The following is a 15064-nucleotide window of genomic DNA, read 5'->3' on the forward strand; positions in this document are numbered from 1 at the left end:
GATGGGAGACAAACAGTTGCATTCTTCTGAGTTTCTGATGAGCCTCTCCAAAGGAGGCAATCAGATATGCATCTATCTCAGTGAGCAGAGGGGTGACTTTGAATAGAATAGGGGGCAGGTTGCCCTGCTTGACTTTTCCCTTTAGCTTAGTCATTTTGGGACCACGAGATGTATTTTCCCTTCACACAGGCATGAGCCATTGTGCCCAGCTCTAAAATACATCTTTAAGTAAATGAATGAAATGAGTGAGTGAAACCCACCGGAGAAAACTGTAGCTACACTCAGTGAAAAACTTTCTTTTTGAGGGAGGGGCAGATCTTCCATGGGCTGGATTATAAATTTTTATAGGTGACCGGGTGCAGTGGCTCACATCTGTAATCCTGGCAGTTTGTGAGGCCGACACAGGCATTTCACTTGAGGCCAGGAGTTTGAGACCAGCCTGGACAACATGGGGAAACCCTGTCTCTACTAAAAATACAAAAATTAGCCAGGCGTGGTGGCGCGCCTGTGGTCCCAGCTACCCAGGAGGCGGAGGTGGTGTCAGAGGTGTTTGAACCAGAGCAACTGCATCTTGAATAGGGGCTGCGTAAAATGAGGCTGAGACCTACTGGGCTGCATCCCCAGCCTGTTAGGCATTCTAAGTCACAGGATGAGATAGGAGGTTGGCAAAAAATACAAGTCATATGCTGGCCGGGCGCAGTGGCTCACACCTGTAATCCCAGCACTTTGGGAGGCCAAGGCAAGCGGATCACCTGAGGTTGGGAGTTCGAGACCAGCCTGACCAACATGGTGAAACCCTGTCTCTACTAAAATGCAAAAAATTAGCTGGGTGTGGTGGTCGCGCCTGTAGTCCCAGCTACTCAGGAGGCTGAGGCAGGATAATTGCTTGAACCCTGGAGGCGGAGGTTGCAGTGAGCCGACATCCCACCACTGCACTCCAGCCTGGGTGACAGAGCAAGACTCTGTCTCAAAAAAAAAAAAAAAAAAGATACAGGTCATAAAGACCTTGCTGATAAAACAAGTTGCAGTAAGAAGCCGGCCAAATCCCACCGAACCCAAGATGGCCATGAGAGTGACCTCTGGTCGTCCTCACTGCTACACTCCTGTTAGCTCCAAGACAGTTTACAAATGCCACGGCAACATCAGGAAGTTACCCTCTGTGGTCTAAAAAGGGGAAGCATGAATAATCCACCCCTCGTTTAGCATATCATCAAGAAATAACAATGACAATGGGCAACCCGCAGCCCTCGCGGCTGCTCTCTCTCTGGAGTAGCCATTCTTTTATTCCTTTACTTTTCCTGATAAACTTGCTTTCACTTTACAGACTTGCCCTGAATTATTTGTTGCACGAGATCAAAGAACCCTCTCTTGGGGTCTGGGTCGGGACCGCTTTTCAGTAACATCTTTCTGGTGATCACGGAAGAGACTATAGTGTGGAAACACCCGACCCAAAGGCTAACTTTGAGCCCGGTGTGGTGGCACGCACCTGTAATCCCAGCTACTCAGGAGGCTGAGGCAGGAGAATCGCTTGAACCCCAGCGACAGAGGTTGCAGTGAGCTGAGATCGCACCACTGCACTCCAGCCTGAGCGACAGAGCAAGACTCTGTCTCAAAAACAACAACAACAAACAACAACAACAAAAAACCAAAGGCTAACTTTGGGTAAGTGATGGGGTTCAGTAACATCTTTCTGGCAAATCATGGAAGGGACGATACTGAAGAAACCCCCGACCCAAAGGAAATAGACTGGAGCACTGATTGGCCGACTTTGGGTAAGTGGTGGAGTACTCTGGTAAAGGGTGGGATGGGATTAGAGGCCCAATTTAGGGGAATTAGAGTCTCTCCTAAGACAGAGTGGGATAGAGGCCCCTCTTAATAAAAGGCAAGGACACGGTGAAACCCCGTCTCTACTAAAAATACAAAAAATTAGCCGGGCGTGGTGGCAGGTGCCTGTAATTCCAGCTACTCAGGAGGCAGGAGAATCGCTTGAACCCAGGAAGCAGAAGTTGCAGTGAGCCGAGATTGCACCACTGCACTCCAGCCTGGGCAACAAAAGCAAAATTCGGCCTCCAAAAAACAAAAAAAAAACAAAAGGCAAGGACGCTTGACCGACCTTGGGTTAGAAGCCCAACTTAGGAGGGTTGGAGTCCCTTCCAAGATTTAGGGGGTTAGAGGCCCCTCTCAGTAAAGTCCCTTTCAGCTAAGAACGGGTTTGGCACTATGGGATGTTAACTGCTGTTCTCTTTAGATTAATCTGCCTTGCACTCTTTGCTGATGGCTGTGGGTGACAGCATTAAGCGTGTACAGGATCGTGGGACATAGGGAGCTTTTTTCTCCCTAAAAGGGGAAACTTGAGAGCTGATGGGACTTCTGGAAAAGATCCCTTCACGACCGACAAGCAGCCGCCTGGACTTTTCAGTGTCACTGCAATGGGTGGGTCTTTCTCTGGCCTCCCCGAGCACCTCACCTTCCTCACCTTCCTCACCTTCCCCACCCTGCCTCAGGCAATGCATTCCTCTCTCTCTGTGCAAATGGGTTAAATGGTAAAAATCACTGTTTATCTCCTCTATGAAGTTTTGATGAATGGAAGAAAGGATTTGCGAGGCTAATCTTAAACTGTAGTGAATCTGGTGTGCTTTGCCTGTCTTTCTGTGTTCTGTGATGGAGAGGAGTATCTTAGGACAGAATGAGGGCCTAGGACACCTATAAGCCCGCTGTTCAGAGACGGCCCAGCACACTGGTCAGTTAAAAACTTCGGCCGGGTGCGGTGGCTCACGCCTGTAATCCCAGCACTTTGGGAGGCTGAGGCGGGCAAATCACAAGGTCAGGAGTTCGAGACCAGCCTGACCAACATGGTGAAACTCCGTCTCTACTAAAAATACAAAAATTAGCTGGGCGTGGTGGTGAGCGCCTGTAATCCCAGCTACTCAGGAGGCTGAGGCAGGAGAACCGCTTGAATTCAGGAGATGGAGGTTGCAGTGAGCCGAGATCACGCCGCTGCACTCCAGCCTGGGCGACAGAGTGGGATTCCGTCTCAAAACAAACAAACAAACAAAAACTTTGCTGCAGGTCCCTGAAAAAAACTGGATGAGGTTCCCTTCTTGTCTTGTATGTCCTTGGGAGCTCGACCTTGTAACCATGTGGCTGTGCTTTCTCTTTCCACAGTGGCAGCCTGGGTTCAGGGTCCAATTCCTGGCTTGAGGAATGAGTCCTTTATCTTCTGTCTGTCTGCGTATTTATGTGTGTCGTGTGTGTGACGTTTACATATAAAAGAGCTTGGGTTGATTGGCTTAAAAACAAGTGCTTAAATCAAATATTTTGACAGAAAAGTATAAAGTATAATGCCTTTTAGTTCATGTGACTTAAGTAATCTTTGGGAAACAGTTTTAAAGATTATTGGTAAAATAAAAATATCTTCAAAAATGTAAATATTTGGTCTAACTTATGCAGGTCAGATGTTTGCTAAATGCTTTGAGGTTATAAACTGCTTCTTTGACTTTTGGAAATTGTTCAGTTTACCTACCTTGCTGTGTATGAACATATTGGCTAAAGTTGGGTATTATTCAGTTTTTGCATAAATTAAACATTGGAAAAAAACACAACAGGTTTTTCCTGAAGCAAAAATCTGCTTATGATCTGCTCTTTAACAAAAATTGTAAAGGGTTATAAAAAGTTTATGAGAATCTTACCTTAGGGTCAAACATTAAAATTGGGTAAATGTGTCTATAGGGTTTTATTAAGAATTGGGTTTGGCTGGGTGCAGTGAATCACGCCTGTAATCCCAACACTTTGAGAAGCCAAGGCGGGAGGATCACTTGAGGTCAGGAGTTCAAGACCAGCCTGGCCAACATGGTGAAACCCCATCTCTACTAAAAATACAAAAAATTAGCTGGGCACGGTGGCACGTGCCTGTAATCCCAGTTACTCGGGAGGCTGAGGCAAGAGAAACGCTTGAACCTAGGAGGTGGAGGTTGCAGTGAGCCAAGATTGCACCACTGCACTCCAGCCTGGGCAACAGAGCCAGACTCTGTCTCAAAAAGGGGAAAAAAAAAGAATTGGGTTTAACATTAATAGTACACTAATGTAAAGGTGAAATTCGGCTTATTTGGTACAAAACTCATACAGGAAACATTGTCAAATATGAAACGGTGTTTGCTTTTCTTTGGGCTGTATTTGTATAAATGTGTTATTGGCATATGTTCCAAAATAATAGGAAATTCCTATAATTCTGATATGACTTAGTATATGTTATTAATAATTATAATTGTTACAGAAAATCATTGTATGCCACAGAGGTAACCAAAAAACCAAAGTCTTATCTAAGATTTCTTCTATGGAACAGAGTTCCATCAAAGCCAATTTAAAAACAGCTTATGTGGGCCAGGCGTGGTGGCTCACGCCTGTAATCCCAGCACTTTGGGAGGCCGAGGCAGGCAGATCTTAAGGTCAGGAGATCGAGACCATCCTGGCAAACACAGTGAAACCCCATCTGTACTAAAAATACAATAAAATTAGCCAGACGTGGTGGCGGGCGCCTGTAGTCCCAGCTACTTGGGAGGCTGAGGCGGGAGAATGGCGTCAACCCGGGAGGCAAAGCTTGCAGTGAGCTGAGATAGCACCACTGCACTCCAGCCAGGGCGACAGAGCGAGACTCCATCTCAAAAAAAAAGCAAAAAAAAAAAGCTTATGTGAAAAATAGTTATTCTTGCTGCACTTTATACAAATAATCAGGCCAAAGAAAAACATCCTTTGTCAATCATGTTTTTGACTGTGGCTGTCCTAAGACATTTTGCCATCCACAGACAATTGTTGTCTTAATACTCTTTAAAAGGTGGTTTATAATCAACTAGAGAACTCTAACAGGTATTCTTAAATGCAGGTTTCTGATAACTTTGGAAATTGTGATATTAAAATAGAGGAAAAAACTTTCAGAACTCTCACAGAGAACTGGAATGTCCGTGAATATCAAACACAGCAGGAGATAACTGCAGCAGCTCAAGTCAGTAATTCTGAAGTCATCTTTTTGACTTTGCTTAAAATATTATTGATCCTTTGTTTTGCTTTTCAGAGTCAAGAAAACTTTTCTTTTGAGCTATTTGCATTTTTTTCTTTTTTTTTTGAGACGGAGTCTTGCTCTGTCGCCCCAGCTGGAGTGCAGTGGCGTGATCTCGGCTCACTGCAAACTCCACCTCCCGGGGTTCACACCATTCTCCTGCCTCAGCCTCCCGAGTAGCTGGGACTACAGGCACCCACCACCATGCCTGGCTAATTTTTTGTATTTTTAGTAGAGACGGGGTTTCACTGTGTTAGCCAGGATGGTCTCGATCTCCTGACCTCGTGATCTGCCCACCTCGGCCTCCCAAAGTGCTGGGATTACAGGTGTGAGCCACCGCGTCTGGCCTGCATTTTTTAACAATTGAGTAAAATATACTCCTATGAACAAACTTTGGAGCATATTTGTTTCTCTGTACCTGCTTTCTCCAGAATTTGCAAACTAGAGAGTATTCTTAACTTATGGCAATATAGTTATTTGCCTAATTGCAACAATAATTTTTCTTTTGTAACCGGACACAAGTGGAAAAGCTGGTTATTTTACCAAGGCTTTAACCGGAATGGTGTGTTTTTCCTTTAAGGAATTAAACTTGACTTACAGAGCCAATAAAAGCCCCTTGGGAAAACAGGCCTCATACCTTGCCCACACAGTCCCTGTACAGGGTTTCTGACCCATGGGAAGTAAAGAATGTCACTTTCCAACAGGCCCAGGAGCCCCAAGTTATCTGGGATCCCAAGATGGGAGGAATGTACTCATCCCACAGGTATTTGAGGATACAAACCCATGGCAGGGCTCGGCTCTGAAAAAGTCTTATCTAAGATTCCTTCTGTGGAACAGAGTTCCATCAAAGCCAATTTAAAAACACCTTTTGTGAAAAATAATTATTCTTGCTGCATTTTATACAAATAATCAGACCAAATACAATAAAGTAAATCGGCCTTACCATGATTTGTATTTAGTAAAAATGAGAAACTGGAGAGAGAAAAATTATATTTCAAGAACTATAATACACCTGTTATTAGATTCTAGTCTCATGAGTTGTTTTTAAGTTTGTTTCTGTAATTTAGGCTAACCCTGCTTATTCCTGTGAACCAACCAGTGATCTCTGGCTGCAGCTCAAAAAAAAAAAAAAAGGGATGGGTAATGTAAAAATCTGGATCAGTATTCTAATTCTGGGCATGCATTGGAATTGCTAACAACCCCGTATCAGCTTAGTTCCAACAGTTGCCCAGTTGATGGGAAGCCTTCTAATTTAGTTTACTTGGAATAATTTTACTTATTTTGCTTTACTCTTGTGGAATATATTGTTGTTGTACTCTTTGTGTAAAAATGAGGATAAGTTTACTCAACGTTTTCTTAAATTTAACACTTATGATATCACCTTCTGTCGGAATTCAAGAGTTATGAATGGCCCTCACCATATGGATGCTTTCTGACTGAGCTCCTCTCTACCCTGAATGCAAAAGACCCAGTAGTTGGGCAGTAATATAATTGCCCCTATTCAGCCTGAAGAAGTTGCAGAAGATGGATCTTTGTCCCTCTGCAACTCTTAGGATTAAGGATTCTCTTATAAAAGGGAGGGGGGAAATGTCAGAGGCATTTGAACCAGAGCAATTCCCTCTTGAGTAGGGGCTGGGTAAAGTAAGACTGAAATGTACTGGGCTACATTCCCAGGTAGTTAGGCATCCTGAGTCACAGGATGAAATAGGAGGTCAGCACAAGATACAGCTGATAAAGACCTTGCTGATAAAACAGGTTGCAGTAAAGGAGCCGGCCAAATCCTACCAAAACCAAGATAGTGATGAAAGTGACCTCTGGTTTTCCTCACTGCTACACTCCCACCAGCACCATGACAGTTTACAAATGCCATGGCGACGTCAGGAAGTTACCCTATATAGTCTAAAAAGGAGAGGCATGAATAATCCACCCCTTGTTTAGCATATCATCAAGAAATAACCATAAAAATGGGCGACCCGCAACCCTCGGGCGGCTCTGTCTGTGGAGTAGCCATTCTTTATTCCTCTACTTTCCTAATAAACTTGCTTTCACTTTACTCTATGGACTCGCCCTGAATTACTTCTTGCCCAAGATCCAAGAACCCTCTCTTGGGGTCTGGATTGGGACCCCTTTCCAGTAACAGTGGGAGAATCTCTTGAACCCAGGAGGCAGAGGTTGCAGTGAGCCGAGATCGCACCACTGCACTCCAGCCTGGGCAACAGAGCAAGACTCTGTCTTAAAAAATAAAAATAAATAAAATTAATTAAGGGGCTGAGCGTGGTGGCTCATGTCTGTAATCCCAGCACTTTGGGAGGCCAAGGCAGGCGGATCATTTGAGGTCAGGAGTTTGAGACCAGCCTGGCCAACATGGTGAAACCCCATCTCTACTAAAAATATAAAAATGAGCCAGGCGTGGTGGTGGGTGCCTGTAATACCAGCAACCTGGGAGTCTGAGACAAAAGAATCGCCTGAACCTGGGAGGTGGAGACTGCAGTGAGCCGAGATCATGCCACTGCACTCTAGCCTGGGCGACAGAGCGAGACTCCGTCTCAAAAAACAAACAAACAGGCCAGGTGCGGTGGCTGACACCTGTAATTCCAACACTTTGGGAGGTCGAGGCGGGTGGATCATGAGGTCAAGAGATCGAGACCACCCTGGCCAACGTGGTGAAACCCTGTCTCTACTAAATATACAAAAATTAGCTGTGCATGGTGGCGGGCGCCCATAATCCCAGCTACTTGGGAGGCTGAGGCAGGAGAATCGCTTGAACTCAGGAGGCGGAGGTTGCAGTGAGCTGAGATCACACCACTGCACTCCAGCCTGGTGACAGAGTGAGACTCTGTCTAAAAAACAAAAACAAAAACAAAAACAACCAACTAACCAAACAAAATCCAAATAAGTTTGCACAGAAGTTCAATGGCTCCCTAACTGTATGCTATTATTTTTAACTTTTTTCTCCTTTTGTCTTTCCTTTTTTCAAATTTAATTAGCTGATATTGCTGCCCATGAAACAGTTCTCAGGGTTAGGACTTAACATCTTGTGCCTTTGAAAATTCGCCTTCAAATACAAACACGATTTTCCCATTCTAAATGCAAAACAGAAGTTCCACAAAGGATTGCTGGAAAGAAAGCGTCCACTTAGGGCCAGGCGCGGTGGCTCACGCCTGTAATCCCAGCACTTTGGGAGGCCAAGGAGGTTGGATCACCTGAGGTCAGAAGTTCAAGACCAGCCTGGTCAACATGGTGAAGCCCGTCTCTACTAAATATACACAAATTAGCCAGGTGTGGTAGCGGGCGCCTGTAATCCCAGCTACTCGGGAGGCTGAGCCAGGAGAATCACTTGAGCCCGGAGGCAGAGGTTGCAGTGAGCCGAGATCACGCCACTGCGCTGCAGCCTGGGTGATACAGCGAGACTCTTTCTCAAATGAAAAGAAACAAACAAACAAAAAACAGTCTGATATCCATACTAATTGCATAATTGCGTAACCTTAAGCAAATCTCTTAACATCTTTGATTCAACGTTACACTGTGAGGGAGAGACACTAATACCTCCTTTTATAGAGGAGGAAATTGAGGTCCAGTGACTGGCTCAAGGTGGCAGAGCTGGAGAGAGTTGAGGTGCAACTGTGGGTTCAAGGTGCTGGCAAGAGGTCCCCCAGCCCCCAGCCCCTCCGTGTCACTCACTACCTGCCATCTCAAACAGTGGTATAAAGCCCAGTAAAATGTGCATGTTTTTATATGCATGTACAACCCAAATGTAAATGTATATTGGTTTAGGTGGGAAAAAATAATTCTAAAATTTGCAAAAGGAGTTATGTCAAAGTCCTTAAATATTGATACGTTAAAAAGTTAGTAAGTATTCTGGGCTGGGTGAGGTGTCTCAGCCTGTAATCCCAGCACTTTGGAGGCCAAGGCGGGCAGATCACCTGAGGTCAGGAGTTTGAGACCAGCCTGGCCAACATAGTGAAACCCCATCTCTACTAAAAATACAAAAATTATCTGGGTGGGTGTGGTGGTGCACGCCTGTAATCCCAGCTACTCGGGAGGCTGAGGTGGGAGGATCGCTTGAGCCCAGGAGGTGGAGATTGCAGTGAGCCGAGATCACACCACAGCACTCCAGCCTGGGCAACAGAGCGAGACACTGCCTCAAAAAAAAAAAAAAAAAAGGGTAATAAGTATCCCTTCATCAGTGCTTAATAAATGTATTAGGAATATGAGTAATTTCTATGCACTTCAAGATAACTAATCTCAAATTCATATGGATATATTTCAGAAAAGATTGACTCTAAGGACCCTCATACAGCCATGGAATGTACCGCTTTTTTTTTTTTTTTTTTGGAGACAGGGTCTTTCTGTCAGAGACAACTGAAATTTTAAAATAATAATAATAATAAAGAACTGGGAATTGGGGAGATGATGATGATAATGATGAGGAGCAGAGGCTTGCCCAGCTTGGGTCTCCAGGGACACAGCAACAAGAATGAGCCCAGAACTCTGCATATTCTATTTCTTGTCCTCATTTTCAGAGATGTATTATAATCTCAGTTTTGCAGATATGAAACCTAAGGCCAGCCAAGATATAGCTTTAATATGCATTTAAAGAAAATAATGGCTCAAAAACAAGGTGCAATGCTTTCATTCTATGATCAGCAATGTAGATGGAACTGACATGTATATACAAAGCATTATCTTTAATAAAATTGTATCAATGGTTTTTTCTTTTGTTTTGTTTGTTTTTGAGATGGAGTCTCGCTCTGTCACCCAGGCTGGAATGCACTGGCATGATCTTGGCTTACTACAGCGTCCGCCTCTCAGGTTCAAGCAATTCTCCTGCCTCAGGCTCCCAAGTAGCTGGGATTACAAGTGCCCACCACCATGCCCGGCTAATTTTTGTATTTTTAGCGGAGACAGGGTTTTACCATGTTGGCCAGGCCAGTCTTGAACTCCTGACCTCCAGTGATCCACCAGCCTCAGCCTTCCAAAGTGCTGGGATTACAGGTGTGAGCCACCGTGCCCGGCCTCAGTGTTCTTCTTATACTTAAAAAAAATTCATCTCAAGGGGCTTTAAGAAGCAACTTAATCCCCACTGAAACAAACAAGAGTTCCTTGAAGAAATGGCCAGGGAATGTTCAAGGAAAGGATGTGGGCTTCAAAAAGAATAACCATAATTAATTGAAACCCATTAAATAAATATTTCATATAAAGATACATGTATATGAAAAGGGAGGCGGGAGTGCTTCACAGACGAATGCTAGCTAATAAATGGATTGACAGAATAAGGTCAACATTTGCTAACTCCAGTGTAATCGCTGATTCCGTCAAGGATACTCACAAAGTGCTAAAACCATTAGGTGAACAGATTTTTGGTAACAGGATATTTGCATGGGTTTTTAATTGAAAGCGAGAAGCGTATCTTTACAATGGCAAGTTCTGGCAGTCTCCATCTTAACCCAGTGATCAAAGTTAGCGTCGCTAATGGTAGCACAATCTGACGTATGTGCCTTCCAATGTGATAAAATTTGAAATCCACATCGTCTAGAAGTATTTTTGCCCAAAATGTTTAACCTAAATTGAATCAGGCTCCTAGACCAGCACATGTCAATACAAATATATGTAAGCCACTTATGTAATTCAAAATTTTCTGGTAACTGCATTTGGAAAGTAAAAACAAAAGAGAAAAGCCCGGGGTGAAATTAGTTTAAAAACATACTTTAGCTAACCCAGTATATCCGAAATATTACGATTTTAACATGTAATCCATATTTTAAAATTAATATTTTATATTCTTTTTTGTACTGAGTCATGTATTTTCAGCATGTGTTTTTACACTTTAAGTACATTTCAATTCAGATGCTAAATCTTCATTGGAAATACTTGATCTGTATTTAGATTTCATAAAATTTGCAATTGAAAAACTAGCTCCAAGTTGTTCCACACATACATTTTTCCTATCACTGAATTGAGTATCAGTTTTTCAGTTTAAATTCAACTTAACAAAGATGAAATGAAATTTAAATTCAGTTCCTCAGCTGTATTCACCACATTGCAAGGGCTCCAGAGCTACATGAGGCTTGTGGCTATGATACTGGATTAGGCAGCCCTAGACTGAACTTCCAGTTTAGAGGAAAGAAAGGGATAGTAGACAGACAAGTTAAATGACACCAAGAGACAATCCAGAATGTGGGACATTTTACAAAACAATCGCCTTAGACTTCCTAAAAAATCAATGTCATAAAAAAAATAAGATGGGGAGATTGTCCTAGACTAAGGAAACCCAGAGATATAGCAACCATAGGCAGCAGCATGTCTGAAAACAACAAAAGCTTAGACAATTGGGAAAATTTCTTTGAACACTTGGGGAACTCTGAATATGTACTATATGCTAGATGGTATTCTGGAATTATTGCTAGTTTTCTTAGTTGTGATAACAGCATTATGGTTATGTAGGAGACTGCTTTATATCTAGGAGGGATAATCATTCTGGTGGAGAATAATTGTAGAAATGCAATTTTAACCAGGTATTGAAGTTGAAAGGAGCAAAAATATTGTGGGCATATGAGATCTTAAAATATATACCTTCTCTGCAAAAAGTTCTCTTCAGTAACTTCCAGGAAGTTGCTGAAGGATACTCTTCTCCAAAATGAAGGAGTAAGCCAAGAAAAGAATGATGTGGAATGGAGGAGCAGGTGGTTCAGCATGAGTTTACAAGACCCTCCAGGACAACAAGTGGGAACTAGTCTTAGAAAGCAGCCATCATTGACTGGAGCAGGAAGACAAAAACTCCAGGGGAGGCCAGTCGTGGTGGCTCACGCCTATAATCCCAGCTACTCGGGAGGCTGAGGCAGGAGAATCTCTTGAGCCCGGGAGGTGGAGGTTGAAGTGGCCTGAGATCATGCCATTGCACTCCAGCCTGGACGACACAGAGAGACTCTGTCTCGAAAAAAAAAAAAACAAAAAAAAAACTCCAGGGGTGATGTTTCCAAGAAAAAAAAGTACTGACAGGTGGATCATGTGATACATTTGGCCATATTGTGGAGAGTTTTATAACTCTGTAGGAGAATTTCCAGGGAAAAATGGATAGGTATGTTCAGTGGTGTATTGGTAAACCACCTCTCTGAAAAATAACAACAAAAAGCCCAAAAAACAAGAGGCCCTGATTTGTAGCATTGTTTGATTTCTGTGGCATAAATACTTCCACCGTAGCTGATTTCAAACTACCAACATTTGCACGCAGAGTTGGCAAAGGATGTCCACAATCGGCTCTCAAGGGCCAGTAAGAGTTGGCTTCAACAAAATTCAGCAAATAAACAAAACAGTTATTAACTCCAGGAACAATAAAAAGTTTTATAAGCAATGAAATCATAGTACTATGCATGGCTCAGCTATGAGCAATACTTACACCATCACGACAATGCACACACTGAATGCTGGTTTAACTTTTTTTTTAAATTTATTTTATTTATTTATTTATTTATTTTTGAGATGGAGTCTTGCTCTTGTTGCCCAGGCTGGAGTGCAGTGGCACAATCTTGGCTCACTGCAACCTCTGCCTCCCAGGCTCAAGCGATTCTCCTGCCTCAGCCTCCCAAGTAGCTGGGATTACAGGTGCCTGCCACCACGACCGGCTAATTTTTGTATTTTCAGTAGAGACAGGGTTTCACCATGTTGGACAGGTCGGTCTCAAACTCCTGACCTCGTGATCCGCCCACCTCGGCCTCCCAAAGTGCTGGGATTACAGGCACTAGCCACTGCGCCCGGCGGTTTTAACTTTTTTAAAATGTGATGTAACCACACTGAGAGGATGAGGGTAGAGAAGGGTGCAGAAAATGGAGCTAAATATTCATTATCAATAGATAACACCTCAAATGAAAAAAATCAAGAAATAGCAGAATGAACATTTTATTTAGAAATAAGAAGGTAAACTGGCAGAAGAAAGGGCCAAAAGAGACCAAAGTTATTACCTGCAGGGTGCAGAACTCCAGCGTAGAGAGAAATGTGCAGAAAGAAAAGAGCTGGCTTTTTTTTTTTTTTTTTTTTTTTGAGACGGAGTCTCGCTCTGTCATCCAGGCTGGAGTGCAGTGGCGTGATCTTGGCTCACTATAACCTCCACCTCCCAGGTTCAAGTGAGTCTCCTGCCTCAGCCTCCCGAGTAGCTGGGACTACAGGCATATTCCACCACGCCTGGCTAATTTTTGTATTTTTAGTAGAGACGGGGTTTCACCATGTCAGCCAAGCTGGTCTCGCACTCCTGGCCTTAAGTAATCCACCCTCCTTGGCCTCCCAAAGTGCTGGAGTTACAGGTATGAGCCACCATGCCCGGCCAGCTGGTTTTCTTTACAAGCCCTGTAGTACTATTAGACTTACACATATGCACACACTCATGTGAGTACTCACATACACAAATACTACTGAGGCAGACTTCTGGTTATAGAAGACTGAACACAAACTTTTATCACTCTTTCCTCCAAAACCTATTGAAATGACAGAAAGAATATAAAAGGCCTGGCACGGTGACTGACGCCTATAATCCTAGCACTTTAGGAGGGCGAGGCATGTGGATCACTTGAGCTCAGCAGTTCGAGACCAGTCTGGGCAACAAGACAAAACCCTTCTCTAGGCTGGGCATGGTGGCAGGCACCTGTAGTCCCAGCTACTCAGAAGGCTGAGGTGGGAGGATCACCTGAGCCCGGGAGGCAAAGTTTGCAGTGAGCCGAGATCCCACCACTGCACTCCAGCCTGGGCAACAGAGCAAGACCTGTCTCAAAAAGAAAAAAAGAAAAAATATATATAAATATATATATTTGTTATTGATTATATATAAACTTGTATATGTATATATTTATTATTTATATAAATTTATATATATAAATAAGCTGGTAACTGCTGGGAAGCCAGGAGAATGCAGCAGCAGCAAACCAAGACAGTTAAAATTTTCTGAGTACAAGACACTTGGAATCACATTGATTTCTAATCCCAACATATTAAAAACAACCCCAGACAAGCCAAAGAGAGAACCTCAAAAAGTAAGTTTTGCCAGCAAAGCCCCCATCCCAAACCCCTAAAGTGACGTCCCTGTTTCCCTTCAGCCCATCCTGTAGCCTGCAGATAACCGCACCTCTAGGATGCGATTCCTGACACTGCACTTCCTCCCACAGGAGGGAATGAAAGCGGAAACTCCGGGCGGGGTCCCAGGGGACTGACAGCCACCGGAGGGAAGGCACCCCTTTAAGAGAACAGTTTTCACTGGGCGCGGTGACTCACGCCTGCGATCCCAGCACTTTGGGAGGCCGGGCCCTGTGGATTGCCTGAGGTCAGGAGTTCGACACCAGCTTGACTAACGTGGTGAAACCCCATCTGGACTAAAAATACAAAAATTAGCCAGGCGTGGTGGCACATGCCTGTAATCCCAGCTACTTGGGAGGCTGCGGCAGGAGAATCCCTTGAACCTGGGAGGTGGAGGTTGTGGTGAGCCAAGATCACGAGCCGAGATTGCGCTGCTGCACTCCAGCCCGGGCAACGAGAGTGAAGCTCTGCCTTAATAAATCAATCAATCAATCAATCAATCAATCAATCAGAGGTTCTGCTCTGCCACTAAGCTAAATGGCCACCTCACTCCCGGCTTCTAGAATCATTACTTTTCTTTTTTGAGACAGAATCTCACTCTGTCGCCCAGGCTGGAATGCGGTGGCGTGATCTCTGCTCACTGCAACCTCCACCTCCCAAGTTCAAGCGATTCTCCTGTCTCGGCCTCCCGAGCAGCTGCGATTACAAACGCGCCACCACGCCCGGCTAATTTTTGTCCTTTTAGTAGAGACAGGGTTTTACCATGCTGGCCAAGCTGGTCTTGAACTCCTGACCTCAGGCGATCCGCCCACCTCGGCCTCCCAAAGGGCTGGGATTACTGGCGTAAGCCACCGCGCCCGGCCTGGAATCATAACTTGTATCGACCGCCAGACACACAGGGAGTCAGTCTCACAAGACAACATGATAAAAACACAAAGCACAATATAAGGC

The 15064-nt window shown here is 44.1% G+C and overlaps 3 annotated features.

Moving 5' to 3' along the window:
• Positions 506-605: an enhancer, noted in NCBI's record as "active region_2844". NCBI's record gives its function as "activates an Ori minimal core promoter by ATAC-STARR-seq in GM12878 lymphoblastoid cells {active_cell/tissue: GM12878}" and the evidence as "EXISTENCE:reporter gene assay evidence [ECO:0000049][PMID:35858748]".
• Positions 989-1815: an enhancer, noted in NCBI's record as "OCT4-NANOG-H3K27ac-H3K4me1 hESC enhancer chr1:244978837-244979663 (GRCh37/hg19 assembly coordinates)". NCBI's record gives its function as "activates a minimal SCP1, AML or CMV promoter by ChIP-STARR-seq in naive H9 embryonic stem cells {active_cell/tissue: H9 hESC(naive)}" and the evidence as "EXISTENCE:reporter gene assay evidence [ECO:0000049][PMID:30033119]".
• Positions 1816-2642: an enhancer, noted in NCBI's record as "NANOG-H3K27ac-H3K4me1 hESC enhancer chr1:244979664-244980490 (GRCh37/hg19 assembly coordinates)". NCBI's record gives its function as "activates a minimal SCP1, AML or CMV promoter by ChIP-STARR-seq in primed H9 embryonic stem cells {active_cell/tissue: H9 hESC(primed)}" and the evidence as "EXISTENCE:reporter gene assay evidence [ECO:0000049][PMID:30033119]".

The sequence above is a fragment of the Homo sapiens genome, chromosome 1, assembly GCF_000001405.40.
Source record: "Homo sapiens chromosome 1, GRCh38.p14 Primary Assembly".
NCBI lineage: Eukaryota > Metazoa > Chordata > Mammalia > Primates > Hominidae > Homo > Homo sapiens.